Raw genomic sequence first — 27,574 nt, forward strand, 5'->3', positions numbered from 1 at the left:
CACTAAATTGGCTGGGCTGGTCTCGAACTCCTGACCTTAGGTCATCCACCTGCCTGGGCCTCCCAAAGTGCTGGGATTACAGGTGTAAACCACCGATCCTGGACAGCTTTTTAAGCTTTTAATATTGAACTAACCACTCTGCACTGAAATAATTGTTATGGAGGCCTGCGTTAGTGAGACCTGGCCTGCCACACTCTCACATCTGTGGGGCGGGTACAGGAGCCCCAGGGGCCGAAGAGGCACACGTCGGGCCTCTGGGTGCACCTCAGCCTGGGGGCCAGGACGTGGGGCAGAGTGCAGCCAGGGTTCTGACTCCTGGGGTGGAAGGGAGACTCCCAGGGCATCATGTCTCTACCCAAGTCCAGGGGGATGAGCCGCTTTTTCTCTTCTTAGACCCAGTCCCAAGACCCAAGCCAAGGGTGACCCTTCACACTGGCCCAGGCCTCTGCAGGCACCTTGGCTGAGGCTCCCCAAGTATGAATGGTAAATCCTTGCCTCCAGCCTCGGCACAGAGGAGCCCAGCACAGACGCCCCCAGCACAGAGTCCCCCAGCACACAGCCCCCAACACAGAGCTCCCCTGCACACAGCCCCCCTGCACAGACACCCCCAGCACAGAGTCCCCCAGTACAGAGCCCCCAGCGCAGATACCCCCCATAGCACAGAGCCCCCAGAACAGAGACCCACAGCACAGAGTAGCCCCCCAGCACAGGGCCCCCCGGCACAGGGATCCCCAAGCACAGGGACCCCCCCAGCACAGGGATCCCCCCAGCACAGGGCCCCTCAGCACAGGGCCCCCCAGCACAGGGACCCCCCCAGCCCAGGGATCCCCCCAGCACAGGGCCCCCCAGCACAGGGCCCCCAGCACAGGGATCCCCCCAGCACAGGGCCCGCAGCACAGGGATCCAGCACAGGGACTCCTCCCCAGTACAGGGATCCCCCCAAGCACAGAGACCTCCAGCACAGGGATCCCCCCAGCACAGGGCCCCCCAATACAGGGATCCCCCCAGCACAGGGATGCCCCCAGCACAGGGCCCGCAGCACAGAGCCCCCCAGCACAGGCACAGGGACCCCCCCCCAGTACAGGGATCCCCCCAGCAGAGAGACCTCCAGCACAGGGATGCCCCCAGCACAGGGCCCCCCAGCACAGGGATCCCCCCAGCACAGGGATGCCCCCGGCACAGGGCCCGCAGCACAGAGCCCCCCAGCACAGGCACAGGGACCCCCCCACAGTACAGGGATCCCGCCAGCACAGAGACCTCCAGCACAGGGATGCCCCCAGCACAGGGACCCCCAGCACAGGTTCTCCTCCAGCGCTTGTCAAAGGTGGGCCCTGGGGCTCCGAGGACCCTGCTCGCACATCGCCGCTGACCCCGCAGGGCCCCTGGGTCCTCGCCGCCAGCAGTCTGAGTGCGGTGCCCCGACACTGACATGGCCTCCAGGCAGCAACGGCCTTCCCGGGCAGCAGGGCGCCTCGTCCGCCTTGGCCTCGGGCCTCCGGGGGCTGGGGCGGGGTTGCTGGCGGCTCCGCCCCCGCCTGCCAGTTTCCCAAAGGGCGCAAGCGCCGCCTCCGCCGCGTGTCCGGGGTCAGCCCGAGCCCGTGCGGGCCCTTTAAGGGCCGGGGGCGTGTAGCGGGCCCGCCCCCTCCCCGCGGCGCCCGCAGTCCGTTAAGTGCGAGCCCCGGCGCAGGGGCCGGATCTGGCCGGGGGCCGGCGGCGGTGTGGGAGCGGCGCGTCATGTACACCATCACCAAGGGGCCCAGCAAGCTGGTCGCGCAGCGCCGCACAGGTGCGCACGGGCCGGGGAACGGGAACGGGGACGGGGCGGGGCGCGGCGGCGGCTGACCGCCCCCCGGTGCCCGCAGGTCCCACGCAGCAGCAGGTGGAGGGCCGGCTCGGCGAGCTCCTGAAATGCCGGCAGCCCGCGCCGCCGACCTCGCAGCCCCCGCGGGCGCAGCCCTTTGCGCAGCCGCCGGGACCCTGGCCCCTGTCGAGGTGAGACGCGCGCGGCCCCGGCCCGGCCCGGCCCGGCTTCCCCTCCCCCGCCGGCCGCCCTAGAGCGGAGGGTGACCTTGGGGAAATGTTAGTGAGGTCCGGCCACGTGCTGCAGGCGGGGCGGGCGCTCCGGGCGCGGGGGGTGCGCGGGTCCTGCCCACTACGCGCCCGCGGGCCTGCGCCTCGCACTTCCGCCTCACCTGGCCGGGCCCGGGCCCCCAGCGGGGAGAAAGCCGGCCAGTTCCTGGGTCGCAGGGGCCTCCAGCGTCCGAGGTCGGTGCTTCGGGCGACCTTGGGTTGCTGCTGGAACCCTGACGTGCAGCAGGCCCAGGCCACGGTTCGCGGAGAGCGTCGGGCGCTGGTCCTCAAGATCTCCCGGCTCTGCCCTTGCAGAGCTCAGTGGGGGAGACGTGCGTGCGCTTCCCTCGGGCAGGGCCGCTGCCCTCCTCCGCCCTTCACCCCAGACACCCTGGGGCAGTGGGGCCTCCCCCCATCCGGTTGCTTCTGCTTTTCCTAACCCAGTTAGGAAACTCCGAGACCACAGGAGCCTCAGTCCGGCCACTGTGGCCTCCCCGTGACCATGACCCAGAGGTTGGACAGCCCCGCAGGGCTGGACGTTTGACTTTGGCTCAGTTCCTCCACCGTTCCCTTCATTTATCCTGTGCCTCTCCCAGGCCTGTGGATTTTGCTGTGGCCCCAAGCCGGCCCGAAGGCTCCTGGAGGTGGTAGGGTCATGGCCTGAGGCGGTGCTGGGGAGGAGAGCTCGGGCCAGGAGTTCAGGGCAGCTACAGGTGGGGGGGTGCCGAGCCACCCTCAGCCTGCCCCCTGCCTACCTCTCAGAAAGGTGTGGAGGTTCCAGCGGGGCGGGGGCTCTCTGGGGCTCCATCCTAGTGAGGTAAGTGCCCTCTACCAGAGGCGCCTTCTGGCGGGAGGTGAGTGGGCCCCTAGGTGCTTCCAGCATCCCAGCTCTGCTGGGACGCTCCGCGGACATCACCCTTGGTCCTCGTGGCCGCTCTACTTCCCAGGGGAGGAAACCGAGGCACACCTGTAGCCACCACCTGGTCCCCAGGCAGGGAGCATGAGGCTGGAGTGGCCCAGGGTGACGCCGTCTCTCTTAACCTGGGGAAACCACCTTTCTTCTCTCTCCAAGACCCCACTGCTAGGGAGGGCAGGGGTAAGGCTGTGGCACAGTTAGGAGGAGTTAGGGAAGAAGATGGAAATGCTTCCCAGAGTTCTCCATGGGACCCCAAGGGTCCCAGTGGGCAACACCAGGCCCACTGGCTGTTGTCTCTTTTTTTTTTTTTTTTTTTTTGGAGACAGAGTCTCCATCTGTCGCCCAGGCTGGAGTGCAGTGGCGCAATCTCAGCTCACTGCAACCTCTGCCTCCCGGGTTCAAGCGATTCTCCTGCCTCAGTCTCTTCAGTAGCTGGGACTACAGGTGCGTGCCACCATGCCCGGCTAATTTTATATTTTTGTATTTCACCATGTTGGCCAGGATGGGCTCGATCTCCTGACCTCATGATCCACCCGCCTCAGCCCCCCAAAGTGCTGGGATTACAAGTGTGAGCTACCGCGCCCGGCCTGTTTTCTTAAAGTCCCCATGTGAGGTCCTCTGTCAGCCAGTGGGACCTGTGGGAGTTGAGTGGGCTTCACCCCGTGTGCAGTGGGGCTAGAGGAGCCCTGGGCAGGGCAGGATGTGTGCTGCCCTCTCCTCCCTGGGGTCACCCACCTTCCCACCCCCAGGCCCCAGCGCTGGGAGCTTCTGGCAGCAGTGGGATCTCTGCATGAAGCCCCCATCCTGCTCCTGCACCTTCTTGGGGCAACCACCTTCCCTCTGTTTCTTTTTTTTTGAAATGGAGTTTTGCTCTGTTGCCCAGGCTGGAGTGCAATGGCAGGATCTCCGCTCACCGCAACCTCTGCCTCCTGGGTTCAAGCGATCCTCCTGCCTCAGCCTCCCGAATAGCTGGGATTACAGGCGTGCACTGCCACACCCAGCTAATCTTGTATTTTTAGTAGAGTCAGGGTTTCTCCATGTTGGTCAGGCTGGTCTCAAACTCCCTACCTCCGGTGATGCGCCCACCTCGGCCTCCCAGAGTGCTGGGATTACAGGCGTGAACCACCGTGCTTGGCCAACCACCTTCCCTCTGAACCACCCCACCCCATGCTGCCACCCACCTCGCTGTTTTTTACTTCATTTAATTTTTTTCTTTTTGAGACAAGGTCTTGCTCTGTCACCCAGGCCGGGGTGCAGTGGTGCAATCATGGCTCACTGCAGCCTCAACCTCCCAGGTTCAAGTGATCCTCCCACCTCTCGACTTCCTGAGTAGCTGGGATGACAGGCGAGCACCACACCTGGCTCATTTTTAACTTTTATGTAGACAGGTCTCACTATGTGGCCCAGGGTAGTATTCAATTCCTGGGCTCGAGCAATTCTCCCGCCTTGGCCTGTGGAAGCGTTGGGGTTATAGGTGTGGGCCACCGCGCCCGGCCCTGCCCTGCCTTTTCTTCTCCTTGGTGCTTTTTGCTACTCCTCATCTCTCACTGACTGGGCGCGGGAGGGGGGTGTCGGGGTCCCTGCACATCTCCTGGTGCACCCAGAGGGTCAAGGCTTGTCACCCATGATGTATGCTGGCTCTGGTTCCTGCCAGGCATGGGTCTGGGCACTGCCCACGACAGTGACAGACCAGATAAACCTTGGTTTGTTTTTTTAATTTTTATTTTTATTCTGAGATGGAGTCTCGCTCTGTAGCCCAGGCTGGAGTGCAGTGGTGTGATCTCAGCTCACTACAAGCTTCACCTTCCGGGTTCAGGCCATTCTCCTGCCTCAGCCTCCCGAGCAGCTGGGACTACAGGCGCCCTCCACCACACCCGGCTAATTTTTTTGTGTTTATAGTAGAGACGGGGTTTCACCGTGTTAGCCAGGATGGTCTCGATCTCCTGACCTCGTGATCCACCCACCTCGGCCTCCCAAAGTGCTGGGATTACAGGTGTGAGTCACCGCGCCCGGCCACCTTTGTTTGTTTTTGAGACAGAGTCTTGCTCTGTTGCCAGGCTGGAGTACAGTGGCGTGATCTTGGCTCACTGCAACCTCCGCCTCCCAGGTTCAAGTGAGTCTCCCACCCCAGCCTCCGGAGTAGCTGGTATTACAGGTGCCCGCCACCATGCCCGGCTAATTTTTAGTATTTTTAGTAGAGACAGAGTTTCACCACGTATGCTAGGCTGATCTTGAACTCCTGACCTCAGGCGACCCACCCGCCTCGGCCTCCCAAAGTGCTGGGATTACAGGCATGAGCCACCACGCCCAGCCCAGATACACCTTTGACAAGTTCTTCCTCCTGGTGGGAGATGGATAGGGGAGGCAGTAAGATAAACTGAGGCGATATAAGTAATAAGATGAAACGGGGCCATGTGATCACCCGACCCCAGGGCAGATGGAGGGTGTGGGGACCGCCACAGGAAGGGACAATGGAATGAACCCCACAGGGCGAGAAGGGGCAGCCTGCAAGAGACGGGGGTGGGGAGGCCCAGTGAGGGCAGGCTGAGGGGCTGGCTTGGGGGCTGTACTGGGTCAGGGCCATGGACTCTGTTGTTGGATTTGCTATGATATCCTGGTGCTGCCCCCACCCAGCATGTAATATGCTCAGGTGGATTCTCTCCCAAGCCCAGCTTCATGGGCTGAAAAAGGGATGGGCTGTGGAGGGGAGAGGAGAGGATGCACTCCACAGCCTTCACCTCCCTGGGCTGAAGTTTGCCCGGAGCAGTGTCCCTGGAAGTGGGAGAGGTTGGCGGTGATCCATAGGTGCTCGCCGGGCCGGTGCCCTTTCCCCCAGAGAGCAGCAGCCTTACGTAACCAGAGCCCCTGGGGCGGTGCCTGCCTCCTGGGGCCCATCTCTGCCCGAGAGCCGCCACCTCCGCCCTTCGATTCACAGCCCCTGGCAATGTTCTTGTCTTCTTAGACATTGATAATCCAACCTCCAAGCTTTCTTGGAGTTTCTGGCTTTCCGAGGTGGGAGTGGGTTGCAGGCAAGGGGGCTTTCCAAGTGGACAAACTTTATTCCCTGTGGTTTGTGCAGAAACTCAGGCAGCGGGCAGGCCTGGGAGGTGCCCCTGCCCCTGTCCCATCTCCACCTGCACGTTTTAAGATCCTCTGTGGCCACCAGACCCTGCCAGCCCTGGGGCCGGCAGGACCCTGCGCCCCTCAAGACACTCCTCTTTATTTTAGTGCCCCTCTCAGCTGAGGAGGAACCGAGAGCGGCGCTGGGGCACCTGAGCCCAGGAAGGCAACAGGCCGGCCGGGACCGCGAGTGCCTGGCGGAGCAGGCGCAGCCCAGGACTCCCGGCTCCCACCTCCGGCTGTAGGTGCGGCCCCATTCCCTCCACGGCCCTGTCCCGGGCTTTGTGTGCTCAGGGCTCGGCCAGCTGGGGCCGCTCATCCCTGCCCTGGGCCCGGCTGGCCGGGACGGGCCCAGGGGCCCACCAGACGTTGCGTGCGGCACTGCGGGAGCCATCTCCTTTGGCATCGCCCCTTGTCTCGGGCCGGTGGGGAGTGGGCGAGGGTTATAGTCACTCTCCCGACTCAGGGACTGCCCATCCCGGCACCCAGTCCTCATCCCATGGGACGTGGGGGCAGCCAGGGAGAGGGCAAAGGCCCCCGTTCCCGTCCAGGTCCATCCGTCCATGGAGGGAAACATCGTGGAGATGGAGGTGCTTCTGTGGGGCGAGAATGTGGCCTAGAACTACACCCAGAGTGGGGGGGTTGGGGCAGAGAGACATGGTCATGGACTGGGTCGTGGCTCAGGTCAGAATCTGGGCTGCTGATGGGATGCAGGTGGCAGCATGGGCACCTGCAAGACCCTCGGGGAGGGGTACTGAGTGGGGCCCGACCAAAGGTTTGGGACACTCTAAGACTGAGGCCCCCACCCTACAGTCACTCACTTCCCTCAGGACACAGGGCTGCAGGTGTGAGCTGAGCTGCCGATGGCTTGGGGACTGCAAGAGAGGCCTGGGCCACCGGCTGCTGTGGGTGGCTGCTCTCTCTGGTTCAGGAAGTGCCTAGGCTGGCCAAGTCTGGGGAAAGTGGGCTGGCCCGGGGCTGCTCCTGAGTTCTGCCAGGCAGCACCGCACCTGGGATGGGCACCAACCATGTCCGTCTCCTCCCTTCCTGCAGTCCAGGGCCAAGGCTTGTGTTCAATCGTGTGAATGGCCGGCGGGCCCCCTCCACGTCCCCATCCTTCGAGGGGACCCAGGAGACCTACACAGTGGCCCACGAGGAGAATGTCCGCTTTGTGTCCGAAGGTAGCGAGCGGGGCCAGAGGGTGCGGCATAGGCTGCTGGGTCGCAAAACCATGGACCCGGGATGGCCCCACTTCAAGCTGACCCACAGCCGCTGCATGGCTGTGCTTTTCCTTGGCACTCTGCCCTTGTGTCCTGTGACCAGCCCTGTGTGGGGCTGGAGTCCAGGGTGACCATCAGGCCCTGGGTGGGCGATGGGGTGCCTGGGACCTGGCTCAGCCCGACTGCCCTCCTCCCACAGCCTGGCAGCAGGTGCAACAGCAGCTGGATGGTGGCCCAGCCGGTGAGGGCGGGCCAAGGCCTGTGCAGTACGTGGAGAGGACCCCCAATCCCCGGCTGCAGAGTGAGCCCCCCAACCCTGTCCCCCCAGGAGAGACCCCCCAGCCCCTCTGATCCTGACCCAGGCCCTGCCAGGTTCCCACCCCAGGGGATGAGGGAGGGGACTCTTGTGCAGAAACCCCTTCTTCCCAGCGCCTGCCGCACTCGGAGTCCGGGTGAGCGGCTTGTGGTTAGCTCCAGGGGAGACTTGCCGGCTGGCCTGGGAGGCAGCATCACTGCCCAGCCTTCTCTGCCCACAGACTTTGTGCCCATTGACCTAGACGAGTGGTGGGCGCAGCAGTTCCTGGCGAGAATCACCAGCTGTTCCTAGTGGCTGCTGGGAGGGGGCGCTGCTACACGGCCGACCTGTCGCCAGGAGAGAAGCATGGCGCCCTGCCCACCCACTGCGCCTGGCTGGGTGCCGGCCACACCTGAAGTGCCAGCATTTGGACTTTTGCACCTTTTTTTCCCTTGGCCCGGCTGTCCCAACCAAGCTGCCATGGCCAAGGGCCGAACCCGTCTGACCTCAGCCCTGCTCACTGTGCCCAGGGACCAGCGACCAGCCCCTGGGGCTGGCAGGGAGGAGCTCCAGGCTAATAAAGTGGAGAAACTGTCTTTTTGGAGTGTCTTTGACTTGGGAGGGTGTAGGGGGGGTTCTCATGTCCAGTTCCAGTCCACAGCCTGGGACGCCAGGCCCAGCACAAACTCCCCTTGTAGCCCTGTTCCTTCAAGCCGTTAGCTTCTCACCCAGCTGCCCTGCGACAGGTAGGAGGGACGTTAGCCAGCCCACCTTGCTTGGAAGTCTGGGGACCCCACTTGGTTCCTCTTTCCTCTCCCGTTGGCGTTGACTGGGACCGAAGCCGAGACTCAAGGCCTAAAGACATTAAATGGCCCCGGAGTGCAGTCCACCACCCCCCACTACCGGCACTGGGGCTGTGTCTCAGAACGCCAGGTCCCATTCTGAATCCGCCGGGCCCGGCCGCAGGACACTGGGCGAAGGAGTACGTGGGGAACCTGATAGGACGAACGTGGGAACCAGCCCCTCCGCGGGCGCCCGCACTACCTTCCCTGATGGACGGGGATGACCCAGCCCACCTGAGTCAGGACCCAGGGTACCCAGGTGTGGAGCAGGGGCCTCTGGACGGCGAGAGAGCGGCAGGGTGAGGCCCGGCCGTCCGTGGCATGGCCAGGCCTCAGCGCGACCTCGCCTCGCTGCTTGCATGCGGCGGGAGCCCCGGCCGGCCGAGGCGCTGACAGGTGGGCGCGGCGGAGGATCCGCAACCGGCGCGGGCTTCGAAGCCGGTCGGGCTAACAGGGGGCTGCCTTGGGAGGCCCGCGGGGCAAAGGGCAGCGGGATTCGCGGCTGGAGCAACCCTGGAGGCCGCTGACGTGAGCGGGGTACTCCCACCGGGGAGGTCACGTGGCCAGGGCGCCGCCATGACGGCGGAAGTAATGGCGGAAGTGGCACCGTTGCCAGGCAGCCGTTGCCTGGCGTCGCGGGGCGTACTCTGCGCTGGGCGCGCGGAGGCCTAGGCGGGAAGCTCGAGCGGCGGCGCCATGGCCCGAGGTAGCGCGCGGCTGGCGGGGGTCCCGAGGATCCCGGGTTCCGGGGTTCCGGGGTCCAGGGTCGGCGGCCGGAGCGCTCAGGGCCCCCGCCTAGGCCCTGAGGCCAGAGTCCCCGCTCAGGCAGGGTCCCGTCTGCCGGGCGCCCACCCTCGGGCTCCCGGAGCTTGGCTTCCCTCGGGCGCCCGGCCTCGTCCCGCCAGCCTAGCTGGCGTTGGCGTCGCCGGGGAAGGCGCGGAGAGCCCCGGCTCCTGCCTGGTCCCCGAGGCCCGGCCCAGCCCCGCAGTGGCCCCGGCTCGCGTGGCCGAGTCCCCTGACGCCCGGCGCCCGCTCCCCGCAGCGTGGCAGCACCCGTTCCTCAACGTCTTCAGACACTTCCGGGTGGACGAGTGGAAGCGCTCCGCCAAGCAGGGGGACGTGGCCGTGGTCACGGTAGGCGGCCGGGGGCTCGCCCGGAGCCCACACCCCTGCCCTGCCCCCAGGAGAGCTGCCCCGCCCCCGAGGGCCCCCTCGCCCCCGCTGCACTTCTTCTGGGTGCTGTCGGTGATGCGGGCTCCCGCTTCTCCAGGACAAGACCCTGAAGGGCGCCGTGTATCGCATTCGGGGCTCAGTCTCTGCCGCCAACTACATCCAGCTCCCTAAGAGCAGCACCCAGTCTCTGGGGCTGACGGGACGATACCTGTATGTGCTCTTTCGGCCCCTGCCCAGCAAGCACTTCGTCATCCACCTCGATGTGTCCTCCAAGGTACGGAGCCCGCGGCTGGGGGCTGCGTGGGAGCCCCGGCACCCCTGCGGCCCCTGTCTCCTCACGGCCCTGCTCCGTCCCCACAGGACAACCAAGTCATCCGTGTGTCTTTCTCCAACCTCTTCAAGGAGTTTAAGTCTACGGCCACGTGGCTCCAGTTTCCCTTGGTCCTGGAGGCCAGGACACCTCAGAGAGGTGACACCAAGATGGGGTGTGGATGATCCAGGACAGGTGGCTGGAGGGAGTTGGTGCAGGCCCAGTGAGGCTCCTCTGCGGCCTGGAGGACAACCTGGCGGGGGCACAAGCTCACAGTTCTGGGAGTCGCGGGCTGTCAGGAGGGTGGGCGCTGACCCTGAGTGCCCATCCTGCAGATCTGGTGGGTTTGGCCCCCTCCGGAGCCCGCTGGACCTGCCTGCAGCTCGATCTGCAGGACGTTCTCCTGGTCTACCTGAACCGGTGCTACGGCCATCTCAAGAGCATCAGGCTGTGCGCCAGCCTGCTGGTCAGGAACCTGTACACCAGTGACCTGTGCTTTGAGCCTGGTGAGGGCCGCACCTGCACTCCCCACTCCATATCTCACCCATGCTCTCAGCCCTGGAGAGGCCCAAGTCCAGGGTGCTTGGGAAAATACAGTGCTCGAGCTGTGCTGTCTCTGAGCTCTGGCCAGAACCCATCCCAGAGGCAGCCCTGGGGTCAGAACCCATCCCAGAGGCAGCCCTGGGGTGGGGCGGTGGCTGGGCTGGTGGCGTGGCAGTGCCTTGGCGGGTGCCCTGTGTTCAGGTGGCTAAACAGCCTCCCTTGACCTGGAACAACCCTGCTCCTTGTAGCCATCTCTGGGGCCCAGTGGGCAAAGCTGCCCGTGACTCCTATGCCTCGGGAAATGGCATTCCCTGTGCCCAAGGGAGAGAGCTGGCATGACCGCTACATCCACGTCCGGTGAGTGGTTCTGCTTCTTTCGAGGGAGGCCTCGGTGGTGGGAGGGTGGGTGGCCCTTGGGCCCCCAGACACTGACTCTCCCTCTGCCTGCCAAGGTTTCCAAGTGAGAGCTTGAAAGTGCCTTCCAAGCCGATTGAGAAGAGCTGTTCCCCTCCTGAGGCAGGTGGGTCTGGGGGGTCAGCGGGGACCCAGGTTAAGGCCTGTAGGGTGCGTGGGGCTCGGTAGGAGAGGGCAGGGCTGGGAAAGGACCCAGTGGTGTGCTGGCTGCAGCTGGTGCAGGGACCCAGGGAAGCCCGTAGGTTGTCCGAGTTCCCAGAACCACGAGGGTGGGAAGTCTGTGTGAGGGGTACCCGGGGGCCCCAAGCTTTCTAGCTGGAAGAGGAGACTTTCAGGGCCTAGGGTGGAAGTGGGGATACTGGCTGTGGGTCCTGCAGAGCCGGTGAGGCTGGGCCACTTGCTGCTGCCCTCCCCAGGCGTCACCCTCACCAGGCATCTGCACAGCTGGCCCCTGGGTCACTGGGGTTCTTTGCTCTGTTCTAGTCCTCCTGGGGCCGGGGCCACAGCCTCTCCCTTGCCCGGTGGCCTCCAGCAAACCTGTGCGGTTCAGTGTGTCTCCAGTGGTCCAGACGCCCAGCCCCACAGCCGTGAGTACCCCCTTCGCCCTATGAGATGGGGTTGGGGTGTGATGGCCCAGGACGCTGATGGGCACTTGTCCCCCAGCAGTCCGGCCGGGCCGCCTTGGCACCCAGGCCCTTCCCGGAGGTCAGCCTGTCCCAAGAGCGCTCAGACGCCTCCAACGCGGATGGCCCCGGTTTCCATAGCCTTGAGCCCTGGGCCCAGCTGGAGGCCTCTGACATCCACACGGCTGCTGCCGGCACCCACGTGTTGACTCACGAGTCGGCTGAGGTGCCCGTGGCCCGCACCGGCTCCTGCGAAGTGAGTGCCCATCCCACAGCAGGCGGGGCCTGGTGAGGTGTGGGCTGGGGCAGCTGGTAGCCCGCCCCGAGATGCATTCAGAACGGATGTGCCTCCAACGGTCTCCTCTTGTTCAGCCTCCTGGCAAGGAGCAGAGCTGGCGGGAGGCGGCTTTGGGGAAGAATCTCTGTCCACAAAGAGTAAGGCAGGGCTTCTGCTCACCCCCAATGCGTCAGCCCCAGGTGGTCTGTGGGGGACCCTCGAAGGTCTGGCAGTGCAACTGGAGTCCCAGCTTCCACCTTACCACAGCCAGCAGGAGCCACCCAGGACCAGGGCAGTCTTCTTGAGAGGCAGGACCCAGCTAGGGGTTGGCGGGGCTCGGAGTTGGTCGGGCATTCTGGGGACCTGGCTGAGCCTCCCAGGACTTTGATGCGAATGGCTGTTTCAGGGCTTCCTCCCAGACCCAGTCCTGAGGCTCAAGGGCGTCATCGGCTTTGGGGGCCACGGCACCAGACAGGTGAGGCTCCTGCGGCTGTGTCCAGAGCAGCTCTCGTTGGCCGGCTCGAGCGCTGAGTACAGAACGGGGAGAGAGGAGAGACCTATGTCCTGTGGTGGCTGTGTGTGGGCTCCCGAGCCCCCCTGGCACAGCGGTCCCGTCCCCCTGCAGTCCGCTGCTTCCCGCGTGCTCAGGCATCTGCCCCGCCCACAGCTGCTGTCACCTCCTGGTGCCCGGGGGCTCTCAGGGTCACGGGCATCTCTTACTCACTGGCTGGGCTAAGTGCTCCCCCCGAAGACCCAGAGCTCTCACGTCTTTAGAGCTCTGATGATCCAGACCAGCAGTGTGGGGCCAGGCTGTGGGCACAACCTGTAGGTCCCTCATGGGTGACGTGGGCCTTCTAGGAGAGGAGCCCCATGGCAGAGGAGGTGGCCTTCCCCTCTGCCTCAGTGGCCTTGGGCCCTTGTCAGGCCCTGCTGGGTGCCTGCTCTGAGTGTTTGGGGGCCCTTTGGCCTTTTGTTACCCCCACCCCGGAGTTTCTTGCACTGGAGGCGGGGCTTAGAGGACAGGCGTCTGTGCATGTGTGTACACGTGTCTGCTTGAGTGTTCCAGCTGTTCTTTTGACACATGCAGCCTGTGACTCGTGTATGTAGTGTGTGCAGGGTGTGTGTTCTCTCTTGCCCCTGGGTGGCTGTGTGCCCAGGTGTGTGTGCCAGGCCTGCCACCCCCTCTCCCTGGGCTGGAGTGGGAGGTGAGGCTGACCTCCCGGCAGCCAGGAGGGGCCTGGCGTAGCACCGGTCCTCAGCCCCCCGCCCCCTTGTGCCAGGCCCTGTGGACCCCAGACGGGGCGGCTGTCGTGTACCCCTGCCATGCGGTCATCGTCGTCCTGCTCGTGGACACGGGGGAGCAGCGCTTCTTCCTTGGCCACACAGACAAGGTGGGTGCTGCCCGGGCCTGGGGCAGCTCACACCTGCAGCCCCTACACCCTCCCTCACCCTTCTGCCTCCTAGGTCTCCGCCCTGGCGCTGGATGGCAGCAGCTCACTATTGGCCTCGGCCCAGGCAAGGGCCCCTAGTGTGATGCGGCTCTGGGACTTCCAGACCGGGCGGTGCTTGTGCCTGTTCCGGAGCCCAATGCACGTTGTCTGCTCTCTCAGGTGAGCACAGGTCTGCCCCATGCAGGGGGAGGGGGTCAGCCCAGGCGACAATGACCACCTCCTCCCTGTTCACAGCTTCTCTGACAGCGGGGCCCTTCTCTGCGGGGTTGGCAAGGACCACCACGGGAGGACGGTAACAGGGCCCTGGCTGCGGGTTGGGGTGGGGCTGTCCTGATGCACGCAGACAGCTGGAAGGGTCTTGGTTTTCTGAAACTCCAGCTTCATGTGACCCTGGGTCCCTGCTCTGTGTCCTCCCTGTGGTGGGGCTCCCTGCACTCTGGTGTTCATGCCGCCCCCGTGCCCTGCACAAAAACCACCACCAGCAGCTCACATTTCACGTCTCGGCTTTTCGGCCATCGGAGTCGGTTTAAGCCAGCGTTTACACACCTCGCCTCGTTCTCTCTGCTGGTGATGCGGTTGTAAGATTTTCACGTGGCAGAGCCCCTGCAGCTGACCCACGCTTGGGCATCAATGGCACCTCCACACAGCCGAAGCACCCGGCATCTTGGTGGGGGCACCTTTTTAAACATTTTTTTTTTGAGAGAGAGCCTTGTTCTGTCACCTAGGCTGGAATGCAGTGGTGCAATCATAGCTCACTGCAGCCTTGACCCCCTCCCTGACCTCCCCGCCAGCTGGACTCCAGCCATCCTCCTGCCTCAGCTTCCCAGATAGCTGGGCCACAGGCGTGTGCCACCACACCTGGCTAACTTTTTTTTTTTTTTTTTTTTGAGATGGCATCTTGCTCTGTCGCCCAGGATGGAGTGCAGTGGCGCGATCTTAGCTCACTGCAAGCTCCGCCTCCCAGGTTCACACCATTCTCCTGCCTCAGCCTCCCCAGTAGCTGGGACTACAGGCGCCTGCCAACATGCCTGGCTAATTTTTTTTTTTTGTATTTTTAGTAGAGATAGGCTTTCACCTTGTTAGCCAGGATGGTCTCACGTTTTGTTTTTTTAACTTTTTGTAGAGATAGGGTTTCATTACATTGCTCAGGCTGGTCTCAAACTCCAGGGCTCAAGCAGTCCTCCCACCTCAGCCTCCCAAAGTGCTGGGATCACAGGCATGAGCCACTGTGCCCAGCCACGAGCTGCTTTTTATCCACCTTCCGGCTTGCGGGGGGGTTTGTACTTCTCTGCGAATGGGTTGCAGTGCTCAGCATTGCGGGTCTCTGTAGAAGTCCCAAAGCTTCAGGATGAGAAGATGGAGGGGCTGGTTTCCTTCCACTCTCCACGGCCGCACGCTCAGAGGCTGGTCTCCGCATGAGAGAAAAGCCACCTCCGGGTGGGGCTCGGCTGGGCCTTGCAGAATCGAGGTGGCCCCGACTGGCCCTGCCGTGCGGGCTCAGCCTGGGCTTGTTGCAGATGGTGGTGGCCTGGGGCACCGGCCAGGTGGGCCTCGGTGGCGAGGTGGTCGTTCTGGCAAAGGCGCACACTGACTTTGACGTCCAGGCCTTCCGGGTCACCTTTTTTGATGAAACCAGGTGATGCAGCCGCCCATCCACGATGTTGGGAGAGGGTCTGGGCCCGGAGTGGGGGCCGAGGCCCGAGCACCTCCCCCTGGCTTGGCTGTGCGTCTCTGCGTCTCCCGGTGGGTCAGGGCGCTGCGAGCTGCGGCAGTGCTCAGTCCTCATTCCTTGCAGGATGGCGTCGTGCGGGCAGGGCAGTGTGCGGCTCTGGCGGCTGCGTGGCGGGGTGCTGCGTTCCTGCCCCGTGGACTTAGGGGAGCACCACGCGCTGCAGTTCACCGACCTGGCCTTCAAGCAGGCCCGGGACGGCTGCCCGGAGCCCTCGGCTGCCATGCTGTGAGTCCCTGCCCTTCCCCACGGCCTGCCCCGGCATGGGGGCCCTGGTGCCTGGGCCTCCCCTTCCCTGAGGGCCTCACCTTCCCTGCCGCCTCCTCGGGCAGCTTCGTGTGCAGCCGCAGTGGCCACATCTTGGAGATTGACTGTCAGCGCATGGTCGTGCGGCATGCCCGCCGCCTGCTCCCCACACGGACTCCAGGCGGTCCCCACCCACAGAAGCAGACCTTCAGCTCAGGTAAGAGGGCGCCCACCACGTGGCCAGGGTGGCAGGGACACCGAGGCACTGACGCCTCCCTGCCCCCAGGCCCCGGCATTGCCATCAGCAGCCTCAGCGTCTCCCCGGCCATGTGTGCTGTGGGCTCTGAGGACGGCTTCTTGCGGCTCTGGCCCCTGGACTTCTCCTCGGTGCTCCTGGAGGCAGGTGATGCTGTGGGCACGCTCTCCCAACTCCGGGAGAGCCTCGCCTGGATGCTGGGGCGGGGAAGGCCCAGTCCCCGGGGCTCTGCTGTCAGCCGCCCTGGCTCCTGGCTGCACAGGGTGCCACGGGGCCAAGTGGCATATCCAGAGCCCTGGGGCGGCTGATGCCAGGGCGGCCCGCGGGGCAGCCTCACGGAAGGGCCCGGTGGGACGTGGGTAGTGTGTGAAGCCCCTCAGCCTGGGTCCCGCCTAGCCTAAGAGTGGTGGCCTCGAGGGAGCTGCATCTTGCAGCCGTGTGGAGCCTGGGACTTTGAGCAGCAGGGAGTGCATTTGCTGGGGTGTCGGGGACCCGAAGCCTGAGCATGCGGCTCACCCCGGGGTGGCCCTGGAGGCCCCTGACCCCACCCCACCCACAGAGCACGAGGGCCCCGTCAGCTCAGTCTGTGTCAGCCCCGATGGCCTCCGTGTGCTGTCTGCCACCTCCTCGGGCCACCTGGGCTTCCTGGACACGCTGTCCCGGGTGTACCACATGCTGGCTCGCTCCCACACCGCCCCGGTGTTGGCCCTCGCCATGGAGCAGAGGCGGGGACAGCTGGCCACCGTGTCCCAGGACCGTACCGTCCGCATCTGGGACCTGGCCACCCTGCAGCAGGTGGGGTTTGGCAGGGGCAGCACGGCAGGGAGGGCCGGGAGGTCCTGAAGCTGGGGTTTGTCAGCGGGGGTGAGAGGGGCCTATAGGGACCTGGACTTTCCAGCCTGTGTCGGCCCCATGGGTTTGGGCCGCCTGGAGAGCCCCTGGGCCCTTGAGATCCCTGCCCTCCCCTCAGCACGGCCCCTGTCCCACAGCTATACGACTTCACATCATCAGAGGACGCCCCGTGCGCTGTCACCTTCCACCCCACAAGGCCAACCTTTTTCTGTGGCTTTAGCAGTGGGGCCGTGCGCTCCTTCAGCCTGGAGGCCGCTGAGGTCCTGGTGGAACACACGTAAGTGCCCAGCTGGCCACCAGCCCCACGGAGACCCCACGGTGGAAGCTGGGGTGGCCAGGTGGGGGTCATGTGCAGGATGGCCAGTGCTGGCTGGAGCCCCACCCTTTGCTGCCCCATGGGGACTTCCATGGCCAGGCTGGTTGGCTGGAGGTCGAGGGAACCCATGGTACCTGGGCTTCGGGGCTAGGGCCAGCGGGGTCCCTGTGTGTGCTGCAGGTGCCACCGAGGAGCTGTCACCGGCCTGACCGCCACCCCTGACGGCCGCCTGCTCTTCAGCTCCTGCTCCCAGGGCTCCCTGGCCCAGTACAGCTGTGCGGACCCCCAGTGGCATGTCCTCCGAGTGGCAGGTTGGGCCCCCTGCAGCCACTCTGGGGGACTCCTCAGGGCGGGGGAGGCCTGGATCTGGTGCAGGCCCACACCTGGACACACATGCCGGTTTCCTGGTGCACCGACTGGGTCCTGTGGGGGGGCGTGGCCGCCTCAGTAACCTTGTCAAGGCCCTGAGGAGACTGTGGTTTAGCGTTCACTGGACCCCAAGGCCAGAGGTCAGCTCGGGTCTGTGCCCAGGAGGCGGCAGGCAGCCCAAGCTCCAGGTCAGCAGCTGGAGTCAGACCCAGGCATGGGCACCTGCCCTGTCCTGCGGCCACCATAACTTGGGCCCCCTGAGTGGTCACTTATGACTACTGCTGGCCCACGGGGACTCCCAGCTCCCCTGGCAGCGCCTGGCGCCCACTGGCACCTTGGCAATCCTCTGCCGGTGTGATGCGTCTGTGCTCCGGGGCTGGTGTTTCCCGAAAGTGGGGGCAGGGGCGGCGGCCTCCTCGGGCCCTGGCCACGCGCACCCCGGCACTCCCCACCCAGCTGACCCCTGCCCCGTGTGGCCACAGCGGACATGGTATGCCCGGATGCCCCCGCGAGCCCCAGCGCCCTGGCAGTCAGCAGGGATGGCCGCCTGCTGGCCTTTGTGGGACCCTCCAGGTGCACAGTGACAGTCATGGGCTCGGCCTCCCTTGATGAGGTGAGTCCGCAGCCCTCCTGGGTCCAGGGAGACTGGGCCATGAGAGGCTGGCTGCAGGGGCAGGAGGGAGGTCACGGCCACTCGGGAGCAGGACCCAGGCCCTGTCCCGCCTCCTGTCGCAGAGTACACATCAGCCATGTGGGGCCCACGTGCGGCCAGGTTCCTGTGCAGGGCAGGTGCTGCCTGGGTGCCGAGTGCGTGTCCCCGGGACCTCCCTCCCGAGCCTGACCCTGGGTGGCACCGGCTCTGCCCAGGGGCCCTGACTGTCGGCCACTTACCACTACCCCCAGCTGCTGCGAGTTGACATCGGCACTCTGGACCTGGCCAGCAGCCGCCTGGACTCAGCCATGGCTGTGTGCTTTGGCCCTGCAGCTCTGGGCCACCTGCTGGTGTCCACCTCGTCCAACAGAGTCGTGGTGCTGGATGCTGTGTCGGGCCGCATCATCCGGGAGGTGAGCCTCAGGGCTGTGGCCCGCCGACCTGGCCCTCCCTGTGCTGTCCAGGCCTGGCCTCTGTGCCTGCAGCCTCTCCAGCTGGGTGGGGGGCCGTCGCCACACCCACAACGAAGGGAGGCCCCAGGCTGCTGGCCACTCTCCTGAGACACGGCATTTCCCAAGAGCACTGTGTTCCAGCTGCCCGGTGTCCACCCTGAGCCCTGCCCCTCCTTGACGCTCAGTGAGGACGCCCGCTTCCTGCTGATTGCCGCCGGCCGGACCATCAAGGTGTGGGACTACGCCACACAGGCCAGCCCAGGCCCCCAGGTGTGTGCGTGGGGAGGCAGGTGGCTTTGGCGGTCAGGAGCCTCCTCAGGTGGCCCTGGAGACCCCTGCAGGTGTGGGTGGGGGCAGGGAGAGCAGAAGGTGAGGGGTGAGAGTGACCCCCCAAGGATCCTCTGTGCCTCCGGGGCCTCACACTGTGTGGGGCTCACCGTCCCTGGGGACTGGGCACACGGCAGCATCCATGCCCCGCCTCGGGGTCCTGCATGTGACGCCGCTACCCCTAGGTGTACATCGGCCACTCGGAACCCGTGCAGGCTGTGGCCTTCTCTCCTGACCAGCAGCAGGTCCTCAGCGCAGGGGACGCCGTCTTCCTCTGGGATGTCCTGGCCCCTACTGAGAGGCAAGTGCCTACTCTCAGCTGTGTCTGCCTAGGCCCCCCAGGCCCTCCTGAAACCCTCTCTCCTCCCTCTCCAGCGACCAAAGCTTCCCCGGGGCCCCCCCAGCCTGCAAGACAGGTGAGTGGCTGTGCTCAGCTGGGGTGCAGGTGCTGCGCTGACTCTGGGGCCCGTCCTGTGTCTGCCTAGTGGCCCTTCCTCTTCCTTCCCAAACATCACAGGGCTGCTTCTTCCCCAGGCCCGGGCGCAGGACCGCTGGAGGACGCAGCGTCCAGGGCCAGCGAGCTCCCCCGGCAGCAGGTCCCCAAGCCATGTCAGGCATCTCCACCACGGCTGGGCGTCTGTGCCAGGCCTCCCGAAGGTGGCGATGGTGAGCAGCAGGGGTCCTGGAGGAGTGGGGGGATTCGGGGGTCTGAGAGGGCACAGGCCCAGTGGCAGCAGGTACTCACGCACGTCCAGCTCTGGGGTGCAGGTGCCATCGCTGCTCATCAGGTGGAACACAGTGGGGTCGGGGTGGGGGCAGCTTTTCCTCTCCTCCTTAGCCTCATCAGGTGGAACACGGTGGGGTCGGGATGGGGGCAGCTTTTCCTCTCCCCCTTGGCCCCAGGCACCTTGTCCCCGTCAGATGAGGAAGGACCCTGTGAGGAGAGCTGTGACCCCGAGGGGCTTGGGCAGGCCTCAGGCCCACCTGTGCTCACGGAGGAGGAGGCTGGCAGGGCTGGAGACGGGGCCTGGGCTGCGGCAGTGGGCTCCTGGGGGCTTGCCCTGCCTCCCCGTTCCCCCGGCCAACCCCGTGAGCAGTGGAGGGCAGGGCAGGGACGCTGGTGCCGGTGCAGGGGCCTGAGGACGGTCGGTGAGTCCCCCGTGTGACGAGGCAAGGTCACCTGCAGTGGGACACGGTTTGCCTGCGTCTGTGGCTCCGGCCTGTGCCCCGCCGTGCAGTTCTCACTGTGTGGTAGACCAGGGGCTTGTGGGGAGACTGCGTGTAGTGTGGGGTCTCTGAAGAGCTCAGGGCAGTGTAATGCCACAAGCTCTGCCTCCTCCCTGCCAGGCGCCAGGGACACCAGGAATTCGGGGGCCCCACGCACCACCTACCTGGCTTCCTGCAAGGCCTTCACGCCTGCCAGGGTCAGCTGCAGCCCCCACTCTGCCAAGGTGGGGAGTGGTTTCTGGGAGCCCTCTTTATCCCCAGCAAGCACAGAGGCCCCCCGCAGGGCTCCCCAGCACCTCCTCAGGGTTGCTTTTGGTCGCCAAAGGTGATGGCTCTGGCCCTTGGGCGCCTGTCCCCTGGAGGCAACTTCATCCCACACCCCCACCCCTGCCCTCCGCTGGCCTCCAGACGGGACTCTGTGGTGGCCTCCTGCTGACCTGCCTTCCCCTCTCACCCAGCAGCTGCCCTTGATGAGAGCCCCACGGGCCTGTGCCCCTCCTGGCCCTGGCACAGTGCCCACAGCTCCCACACCTCCTACCCCAGCTTCCCCGTCTGCCCCTGGGTGTCCTCTGCAGCTGGCCTGGGTGTGCCCCAACACAGCCTCCCATGTGCAGGCTTTGGGGCACAGGTGGCCATGCTGGGCCCCAGCAGCATCCGGGTCTCCTTCCTCGCAGGGCACTTGCCCGCCTCCCGCCAGCGGTGGGTGGCTGCGTCTGAAGGCTGTCGTCGGTTACAGCGGGAATGGGCGGGCCAACATGGTCTGGAGGCCGGACACAGGTGGGGGCCAAGAGCCTACCCCCACCCCCAGCCAAGATGCGGCCGCGCGTGGTCCAGCCGTCTCCACCCCAAGGCCAGGACCTGGTGGCAAATGAGCGCCAGCCATCAGTGTGGGGCTCTGTTCTCCCGGTAGCGCCTCCTGGCGCTCCAGCCGAGGTCCTGTGAAGCACTTTGGCTACTGGACGCTGGGGAGGGCGCAGCTGGGACGATGCTAACCCCTTGGCCCCGCCCCACGGCTCGGCCCAGGCCCCGCCCCCTGTTCGGCCCCTCCCCAGGCCCCTCCCCGCCCCCCCCCCCCCCCGGCCCGGCCTCAGGCCCCGCCCTCTCTGCGCACAGGCTTCTTTGCCTACACGTGCGGCCGCCTGGTGGTGGTGGAGGACCTGCACTCTGGCGCCCAGCAGCACTGGTCCGGCCACTCTGCGGAGATCTCCACGCTGGCCCTCAGCCACAGTGCCCAGGTGCCCGCCTGCATCGCCCTCCTCCTCTCCCAGGGCCACCGTGCCCGGCAGAACCCAGCTCCCGGACCGGTGCGGGTTCTCACCACCAAAGACGGAGCAGACGGCCACCCCAGCCTCCACTCCAGCCAGCCACGGCCTCCCCACTCACGCCTGGCCTCTTGCCTGCCAGGTCCTGGCCTCTGCCTCGGGCCGAAGCAGCACGACCGCCCATTGTCAGATCCGCGTCTGGGACGTGTCTGGCGGCCTCTGCCAGCATCTCATTTTCCCCCATAGCACCACCGTGCTGGCCCTGGCCTTCTCACCAGATGACAGGCTTCTTGTCACACTGGGTCAGTGGGAGGGAGGGTGGAGGCCAGGGGCTTCCCTAGACCCCGGGGGGGGCTGCATCTGTGCACCTGACGTGGCTGCTCTGTGTCCTTCCCAGGGGACCACGATGGCCGCACCCTCGCCCTGTGGGGCACGGCCACCTATGACCTCGTGTCCTCCACCCGCCTCCCGGAGCCGGTGCATGGTGTGGCCTTCAACCCCTGGGACGCCGGCGAGCTCACCTGTGTGGGCCAGGGCACTGTCACCTTCTGGCTCCTTCAGCAGCGTGGGGCAGACATCAGCCTTCAGGTGCCACCCGTTCAGCGTTTGGGCCCAGGGGTTGTTTTGTGGGGTGGAATCTGCCTGGGCCCCGGGACACTGCTGACCCATGGCCACTCTCATACTTTGCCAGGTGCGTCGAGAGCCAGTCCCAGAGGCAGTGGGGGCTGGAGAGCTGACCTCGCTCTGCTACGGGGCACCTCCCCTGCTCTATTGTGGCACCAGCTCTGGCCAGGTCTGTGTCTGGGACACGCGTGCCGGCCGCTGCTTCTTGTCCTGGGAGGCGGATGACGGTGGCATTGGTGAGTGCCCCGCAGAAGCCCTGTGGCCCTCAGGACCCCTACCTGGGATCCTCAGAGCTGGGGCAGAGGCCTCATCTGTAGCCCTGGCGTCCGGGCAGCCTTGTGACCCAGGGCCTCTGGGAAGGCAGCCGTGGCCCCTTATGGCTCCTCCTGCCCCTAGGGCTGTTGCTGTTCTCGGGTTCTCGATTGGTCAGCGGCAGCAGCACGGGGCGGCTGCGCCTGTGGGCCGTGGGGGCTGTGTCGGAGCTGAGGTGCAAGGGCTCAGGCGCCAGGTGAGCTGTTCACCCCTACGTGTTTTGGCTGCACGTGGGTGTTGGTGTCCCTGACTGGGGCTTGCAGCCAGTGCCCCGCCCCCGCAAAGGCCGCCCTGCAGACCGGCCGCCTGCTAGCCCCTCCAAGGGACAGGCTTGGGTGTGGCCTGGGCCTCACTGGCTGCTGTCGAGTACGGGCATGGGCCCAGAAGCCCCAGCTCCATGGGCTTTCTCTTCTTCCACCGGGAGGGCACAGCCAGGTCCTGAGATGCAATGCTGAGGGCCCTGCCTCGGCTGGGGACCCAGCTGGCTCTTGTCATCGGCCTTGAGACCCATTGTTCTCTCCTTCCCTGCACCCTGAGGTCCAGTTCTGTGTTCATGGAACACGAGCTGGTGCTGGACGGGGCTGTGGTGAGTGCCAGCTTCGATGACAGCGTGGACATGGGCGTCGTGGGCACCACGGCGGGCACGCTGTGGTTTGTCAGCTGGGCCGAGGGCACCAGCACACGTCTCATCAGTGGCCACAGGAGCAAGGTGAGGGACTTCCAGCCTGGGCAGAGGCGGGGCAGCCGAACCTGGTGCCCTCCCTGCCTGCCGGCTCCATCTCCACCAGCCCAGATGATTCCAAGTCCTGCCGTCACTGGCTCGCAGCGGCCGCCTTGGGGTTCCCAGCGGGGAAGTCTTGGGTGTGCACGTCCCCTCAAAGCCGTCCCGGTTGTGTCTGCACAAGCGAGCCGCCTGGCAGGCCTTGCAGGTCTTCTCAAACTGTCCTTTCCCTGCTATTGCTTTGCGTTTTTTTGTTTGTTTGTTTTTTGTTTTTTGTAATTGTCAAAGAAATCACATCAGTCCGGGCGTGGTGGTTCATGCCTGTGATCCCAGCACTCTGGGAGGCCAAGGCAGGTGGATCACCTGAGGTCAGGAGTTCGAGACCAGCCTGGTCAACATGGCGAAATCCCATCTCTACTGAAAATACAAAAATTAGCCGGGCCTCTTGATGTATACCTGTAATCCCAGCTACTCTGGAGGCTGAGACAAGAGAATCGCTTGAACCCAGGAGGCAGAGGTTGCAGTGAACCAAGATTGCACCACTGCACTCCAGCCTGGGCGACAGAGACTCCATCTCAAAGGAAAAAAAAAAGATGAAAAACCCCACATCGTCTGTCCCTGCACCTCCCATAGACTGGCTTTGCTGACTCAGTCTCATGGGATTGTTCTCTGAGGCTCAAGAGGTCAGGAGGCCCAGGTAGCTACTGGGTCAAGTTCTGCTCTCTCTGGGTCAGGTCTGTTCAGGTTCTGGTTGGTGTTGGGTCTAGTCCTGTAAGGCCCAGCTCTGGCCTGCAGCCTCCTGGTGCTGGAGCTGCGTCTCCAAGAAGTACACAGCACTCATCTCTCTGGGACCTCCTGGTCTGGAAGCTCTGTGGCCTCATGGGGTTGGGACAGCCACCGTGTCGCCCCCTCACCCGCCAGCTGCAGCCTTAGGAGAGGTGGCCTCCTGGGCGGAATTGGGGCGGCAGGACAGGTGCCATTCCTTCCCCTGCTGGACCAGGTTCCTGGCGTGGCGTTGGTCTAGCAGCTGTGGCCATGGGCTTCCTCCTGTGGGTGTAAGAGCTCTGCGTGTGGTCAGCTGGGCCCCACGGGATTGATTTTTCCTTGATGCTGAGTCCCATCATCCAGTTGCCCCTGGGTTGTTTCTTTAGAAACCTGTCTTTAGTATTTGGAGATGACGATAGCCAGCAAAGAAAGTTGAGTTTGAGACAGGTGAGGGTTGTTTACTTTTCTGGAAGCAGGTTTGCTGAGGTGTAGTCGTCACAGCACAAGCTCCGTGTGTTTCAGGGGGTGGCTTTTGGCATATTCAGCAGCTTTGGAAACCCCGTGCGTGCCTAGAGGAAACCCCGTGCGTGCCTGTTCCTCGGTCGCTCCCTGCTTCCCGCCTCCCCAGCCCCTGGCGACCGTTGAGTGGCTTTCTGTGTCTGGGTCTTCCCATTCAGGATATTCTGTAGGAACTGGCTCACCTGGCTTCTCACCCTGAGCATGGTTTCCAGGGTCATCCCAGCCGCTGTGTGTGCCAAGCCAGTCATCCCTCTTGATGGCCAAATACTGTTCCATTGTACGGATAGATCATGTGTGTGTCCATCCACCAGGGCTGGGAAATTCGGGTCCTGAGACCGTGACCTGAGCCCGTGGTCACTGGTGGCCTTCCTGTGATGTGGAAGTGCGAGGAATTCTGGGCCCCGCCTGTGTGGTTCTGCCTGGGCGGTTCTGCCTGGGCCTGGACTTTGCCGTTTCCTTGTAGGGCCCAGGGCCCTCCCGGGGAGATGGACTGAGCTGTCCTGGTCTGAGTCCCTGCAGTCCCTCATTGCTCAGCTGAACTGAATTTTTTTTTTTTTTTTGAGACGGAGTTTCTTGTCGCCCAGGCTGGAGTGCAGTGGCATGATCTTGGCTCACTGCAAGCTCCGCCTCCCGGGTTCACACCATTCTCCTGTCTCAGCCTCCCAAGTAGCTGGGACTACAGGCACCCGCCACCACGCCCGACTAATTTTTTGTATTTTTAGTAGAGTCGGGGTTTCACCGTGTTAGCCAGGATGGTCTCGAACTCCTGACCCCGTGATCCGCCCACCTTGGCCTCCCAAAGGGCTGGGATTACAGGCATGAGCCACCGCGCCCGGCTGAACTGATTTTTTTTTAATGAAGTGCATCGTGTTCCCACTTGCACTTAAAGTTCACATTTGGTGCCAGGCTGTATTGCTTCTTCTCACTGGTGAGTGGCAGCTGTGTCTCCTTTCTGCCAGTCCAGCAGTCCCAGCTGTCAGTGGCACCTGCATAATGACACGTCTGCATTTCCCCCCAATCAGCGTGCAGCGGTTTTGGGAGGAGGAATGCGACTGCATGGCGCGCTCGCTGCAACCTCAGTCTGCAGCCTGCTAGGGACGCACGGCCACACTCCTGTCTTTCAGCCTCAGTCTGCAGCCTGCTAGGGACGCACGGCCACACTCCTGTCTTTCAGCCTCAGTCTGCAGCCTGCTAGGGACGCACGGCCACACTCCTGTCTTTCAGCCTCAGTCTGTAGCCTGCTAGGGATGCACGGCCACGCTCCTGTCTTTGAGGTGCTGTCAGAACAGCTTTCTCCTCGGTATCCCGCCGGGTTTGACTGGCTAGTGGGCTTGCTTTGGTTTGGACTCACCCAGATCTAGTGCAGGGACACACACGGGGGCCGGCATTGCTCCTTTCCGCCATGTGGAGTTGGCCGGGGCCAGAGGCACATGCTCTGGTTTGGACAGCCCGGCCCTGGGGGCTGGAATAGGAAATGCCTGCGTCCCTTTACCCTGCCCAGGGGCCAACACCCCCAGCCTAGCTACGGCTTCCCCCAGGTGAACGAGGTGGTCTTCAGCCCCGGGGAGTCCCACTGCGCCACATGCAGTGAGGATGGGAGTGTGCGGGTGTGGGCCTTGGCCAGCATGGAGCTTGTGATCCAGTTCCAGGTGCTGAACCAGGTGTGTGGGGAGTGCCCGGGCCGGGGGCGGGATGGGGGCCTGCTCAGTGGGGGGCCTGGCATGGGCGGGGCCGCCTCCTCCCTCTGGCCTGGGTGTGTGTCCTCAGGGCCCCTGTGAGTGCTGAAGTTTCCCCACTGTGGGTCCCCAGAGCTGCCTCTGCCTGGCATGGAGCCCCCCGTGCTGTGGCCGCCCTGAGCAGCAGCGGCTAGCGGCTGGCTACGGTGACGGCTCCCTGCGCATCTTCAGCGTCTCCCGCACGGCCATGGAGCTCAAGATGCACCCCCACCCGGTGGCGCTGACCACTGTTGCCTTCTCCACCGATGGTGAGGAGTTGGGTGTGTTGGGGATGGTGCCGTCCTGACCTGGCCCAGGTCCAGTCTCCGGGCTGGGGGCTCACAGGGTGACGGCATGGTCCCAGGTCAGACTGTCCTCTCTGGAGACAAGGATGGGCTCGTGGCTGTGAGCCACCCCTGCACAGGGACAACCTTCCGTGTGCTGAGTGACCACCAGGGCGCCCCAATCTCTACCATCTGTGTCACGTGCAAAGAGGTAAAGCAGCCCCAAGAGCTGGGGAGAGGGGGCCTGGGTGCTGGTGGGGGCAGGCACCATCTTGGCAGAAGGCACCTGTCGGCCCTCACCCACTCCATTCCCAGTGTGAAGACTTAGGGGTGGAGGGCACAGACCTATGGCTGGCTGCCAGTGGGGACCAGCGGGTCAGCGTCTGGGCCTCCGACTGGCTGCGGAACCACTGTGAGCTTGTGGACTGGTTGAGTTTCCCAATGCCTGCCACCACGGAGGTAAACCATGCTCCTGGCACTGTGGGTGGGGCCGGTACCCATCCACCCCACCGCAGCATGCTGCGCCTTTGCAGACTCAGGGCCACCTGCCACCCTCCCTCGCTGCCTTCTGCCCTTGGGATGGGGCGCTCCTGATGTACGTGGGCCCCGGTGTTTACAAGGAGGTGATCATCTACAACCTCTGCCAGAAGCAGGTACACGCAGCTGCCCGCGTGTCACTGGGAGCCCCAGGGATCCAGGGTGGTGGGTGGGGCCTGGCTGAGCCCTGAGCCCACAGGCCTGGAGCCTCACGCTGGCTGCTCACAGGTGGTGGAGAAGATACCACTGCCCTTTTTTGCCATGTCCCTGAGCCTGTCCCCCGGGACCCACCTCCTGGCTGTTGGCTTTGCTGGTGAGTGCTGGTGGATGCAGTTTGGGCCTGTCTTAGGTGGGGGCCAAGTGGGCTGACTGGTGCCCTGTTCCAAGACAGGTGCCTCACCTGTGCCCCGGGCTCCTCGTCTCTGGGGTGGGGTGAGGACATCTGCCCTAGAGAGGGTCCTGGAGTCAGGAGATGATGAGGCAGGTGAGGAACCAGGCACAGCGCCCAGCACAGGGCCTGAATGCACGGGTGGCAGCGACTTTTAAGGAGGGAACTGGCCCAGCTGCAGGCCGACAGCCTGGCAGTGATGGACCCCCTAGTCCCAGTGGCACGTGGAGGGCACAGCCAGGAGCCCTTTTAGCACCAGCTCCCCCGACCAGCATCATGCCCAGTGGGGACAGTCTGGGTGGGTTGGGGGAGCCCTCTGAGTGCTGCCTGGTCCTGGCCCTGGCCCACCTGCACCGTCTACCCACAGAGTGCATGCTGAGGCTGGTAGACTGTGCCATGGGGACTGCCCAAGACTTTGCCGGCCACGACAACGCAGTGCACCTGTGCAGGTTTACACCGTCCGCCAGGCTGCTCTTCACGGCCGCCCGCAACGAGATCCTTGTGTGGGAGGTCCCCGGCCTCTGAGATGCAGCAGGGACTGTGGTGGTGGGCATCACGCCTGGTCATGCCAGGCACCTGGACACAGGCTTGGCAGAGGCGCCAGGTTGTCAATGGCCTCATGCTGGGACAGGCCAGGATTCACGTAAATCGCCTGGAGCAAGCTGTTGTAAATTTGGCGCCCTGTGAATACTTTCATACCTGTTGCCCTTTTGCCTAAGAAATCTTTAATGTTTCTATCTTGTAATAAACATGGGCATTTATTGCAT

The 27,574-nt window shown here is 64.4% G+C and overlaps 2 protein-coding genes and 1 long non-coding RNA gene across 62 annotated transcripts, besides 12 other annotated features; 2 read left to right on the forward strand and 1 right to left on the reverse strand.

Moving 5' to 3' along the window:
- Positions 583-1,494: an enhancer, noted in NCBI's record as "H3K4me1 hESC enhancer chr16:690840-691751 (GRCh37/hg19 assembly coordinates)". NCBI's record gives its function as "activates a minimal SCP1, AML or CMV promoter by ChIP-STARR-seq in primed H9 embryonic stem cells {active_cell/tissue: H9 hESC(primed)}" and the evidence as "EXISTENCE:reporter gene assay evidence [ECO:0000049][PMID:30033119]".
- Positions 583-1,935: a biological region, named in NCBI's record as "H3K4me1 hESC enhancer GRCh37_chr16:690840-691751".
- Positions 1,386-1,935: a silencer, noted in NCBI's record as "silent region_6930". NCBI's record gives its function as "represses an Ori minimal core promoter by ATAC-STARR-seq in GM12878 lymphoblastoid cells {active_cell/tissue: GM12878}" and the evidence as "EXISTENCE:reporter gene assay evidence [ECO:0000049][PMID:35858748]".
- On the forward strand, positions 1,571-8,217 carry MCRIP2 (MAPK regulated corepressor interacting protein 2). 11 transcript variants are annotated; one of them, NR_138604.2, is made up of 6 exons: positions 1,571-1,786; positions 1,863-1,992; positions 6,215-6,351; positions 7,160-7,287; positions 7,526-7,627; positions 7,863-8,217. NR_138604.2 is itself a non-coding variant. In NM_138418.4 (5 exons), exons 1-5 carry the CDS (start codon positions 1,735-1,737, stop codon positions 7,931-7,933), a joined length of 483 nt encoding a protein of 160 aa, NP_612427.2. In that variant the 5' UTR covers positions 1,571-1,734; the 3' UTR covers positions 7,934-8,217. The 11 variants fall into 11 exon arrangements, 3 of the variants coding, with proteins under 3 accessions (NP_612427.2, NP_001318158.1, NP_001318159.1); NR_138608.2 differs by having other exon boundaries at positions 6,215-6,347; NR_138607.2 differs by lacking the exon at positions 1,863-1,992.
- Positions 1,966-2,245: a silencer, noted in NCBI's record as "silent region_6931". NCBI's record gives its function as "represses an Ori minimal core promoter by ATAC-STARR-seq in GM12878 lymphoblastoid cells {active_cell/tissue: GM12878}" and the evidence as "EXISTENCE:reporter gene assay evidence [ECO:0000049][PMID:35858748]".
- Positions 2,256-2,395: a silencer, noted in NCBI's record as "silent region_6932". NCBI's record gives its function as "represses an Ori minimal core promoter by ATAC-STARR-seq in GM12878 lymphoblastoid cells {active_cell/tissue: GM12878}" and the evidence as "EXISTENCE:reporter gene assay evidence [ECO:0000049][PMID:35858748]".
- Positions 2,636-2,685: an enhancer, noted in NCBI's record as "active region_10209". NCBI's record gives its function as "activates an Ori minimal core promoter by ATAC-STARR-seq in GM12878 lymphoblastoid cells {active_cell/tissue: GM12878}" and the evidence as "EXISTENCE:reporter gene assay evidence [ECO:0000049][PMID:35858748]".
- Positions 7,673-7,722: an enhancer, noted in NCBI's record as "active region_10210". NCBI's record gives its function as "activates an Ori minimal core promoter by ATAC-STARR-seq in GM12878 lymphoblastoid cells {active_cell/tissue: GM12878}" and the evidence as "EXISTENCE:reporter gene assay evidence [ECO:0000049][PMID:35858748]".
- LOC105371038 (uncharacterized) lies at positions 8,201-9,056 on the reverse strand. The gene is made up of 2 exons (NR_135177.1): positions 8,698-9,056; positions 8,201-8,358 (listed from the first exon to the last, which is right to left on the reverse strand). It is a non-coding gene; the product is annotated as an uncharacterized LOC105371038 (long non-coding RNA).
- Positions 8,722-27,573, forward strand: WDR90 (WD repeat domain 90). 50 transcript variants are annotated; one of them, XM_047433722.1, is made up of 42 exons: positions 8,722-8,859; positions 9,506-9,597; positions 9,734-9,910; positions 9,997-10,105; positions 10,282-10,452; positions 10,738-10,846; positions 10,942-11,009; positions 11,387-11,490; positions 11,567-11,782; positions 12,210-12,278; positions 13,084-13,194; positions 13,268-13,413; positions 13,489-13,546; positions 14,772-14,890; positions 15,050-15,211; positions 15,316-15,446; positions 15,516-15,632; positions 16,045-16,280; positions 16,475-16,614; positions 16,834-16,964; positions 17,505-17,635; positions 17,926-18,087; positions 18,253-18,396; positions 18,639-18,754; positions 18,829-18,869; positions 18,988-19,119; positions 19,357-19,602; positions 19,801-19,904; positions 20,355-20,457; positions 20,794-20,915; positions 21,085-21,244; positions 21,340-21,530; positions 21,634-21,802; positions 21,963-22,074; positions 22,416-22,587; positions 25,422-25,544; positions 25,693-25,867; positions 25,963-26,093; positions 26,198-26,341; positions 26,416-26,535; positions 26,648-26,732; positions 27,175-27,573. In XM_047433722.1, exons 1-42 carry the CDS (start codon positions 8,823-8,825, stop codon positions 27,330-27,332), a joined length of 5,544 nt encoding a protein of 1,847 aa, XP_047289678.1. In that variant the 5' UTR covers positions 8,722-8,822; the 3' UTR covers positions 27,333-27,573. The 50 variants fall into 50 exon arrangements, with proteins under 50 accessions (XP_047289678.1, XP_047289680.1, XP_047289681.1 ...); XM_047433724.1 differs by having other exon boundaries at positions 22,422-22,587; XM_047433725.1 differs by having other exon boundaries at positions 18,268-18,396.
- Positions 9,143-9,242: a silencer, noted in NCBI's record as "silent region_6933". NCBI's record gives its function as "represses an Ori minimal core promoter by ATAC-STARR-seq in GM12878 lymphoblastoid cells {active_cell/tissue: GM12878}" and the evidence as "EXISTENCE:reporter gene assay evidence [ECO:0000049][PMID:35858748]".
- Positions 9,143-9,967: a biological region, named in NCBI's record as "H3K27ac-H3K4me1 hESC enhancer GRCh37_chr16:699402-700224".
- Positions 9,145-9,967: an enhancer, noted in NCBI's record as "H3K27ac-H3K4me1 hESC enhancer chr16:699402-700224 (GRCh37/hg19 assembly coordinates)". NCBI's record gives its function as "activates a minimal SCP1, AML or CMV promoter by ChIP-STARR-seq in primed H9 embryonic stem cells {active_cell/tissue: H9 hESC(primed)}" and the evidence as "EXISTENCE:reporter gene assay evidence [ECO:0000049][PMID:30033119]".
- Positions 9,353-9,482: a silencer, noted in NCBI's record as "silent region_6934". NCBI's record gives its function as "represses an Ori minimal core promoter by ATAC-STARR-seq in GM12878 lymphoblastoid cells {active_cell/tissue: GM12878}" and the evidence as "EXISTENCE:reporter gene assay evidence [ECO:0000049][PMID:35858748]".
- Positions 19,129-20,019: an enhancer, noted in NCBI's record as "H3K27ac-H3K4me1 hESC enhancer chr16:709386-710276 (GRCh37/hg19 assembly coordinates)". NCBI's record gives its function as "activates a minimal SCP1, AML or CMV promoter by ChIP-STARR-seq in naive H9 embryonic stem cells {active_cell/tissue: H9 hESC(naive)}" and the evidence as "EXISTENCE:reporter gene assay evidence [ECO:0000049][PMID:30033119]".

The sequence above is a fragment of the Homo sapiens genome, chromosome 16, assembly GCF_000001405.40.
Source record: "Homo sapiens chromosome 16, GRCh38.p14 Primary Assembly".
Classification (NCBI taxonomy): domain Eukaryota; kingdom Metazoa; phylum Chordata; class Mammalia; order Primates; family Hominidae; genus Homo; species Homo sapiens.

Coding starts and splice junctions, on each gene's coding strand:
- MCRIP2 (NM_138418.4), top strand. CDS start 1,735: ATGTACACCATCACCAAGGGGCCCAGCAAGCTGGTCGCGCAGCGCCGC. Junction 1,993..7,159: donor GGACCCTGGCCCCTGTCGAG/GTGAGACGCGCG, acceptor CCCTTCCTGCAG/TCCAGGGCCAAGGCTTGTGT. Junction 7,288..7,525: donor TGTCCGCTTTGTGTCCGAAG/GTAGCGAGCGGG, acceptor CTCCTCCCACAG/CCTGGCAGCAGGTGCAACAG.
- WDR90 (XM_047433722.1), top strand. CDS start 8,823: ATGCGGCGGGAGCCCCGGCCGGCCGAGGCGCTGACAG. Junction 14,891..15,049: donor ACCTTTTTTGATGAAACCAG/GTGATGCAGCCG, acceptor CATTCCTTGCAG/GATGGCGTCGTGCGGGCAGG. Junction 15,447..15,515: donor GAAGCAGACCTTCAGCTCAG/GTAAGAGGGCGC, acceptor CCCTGCCCCCAG/GCCCCGGCATTGCCATCAGC.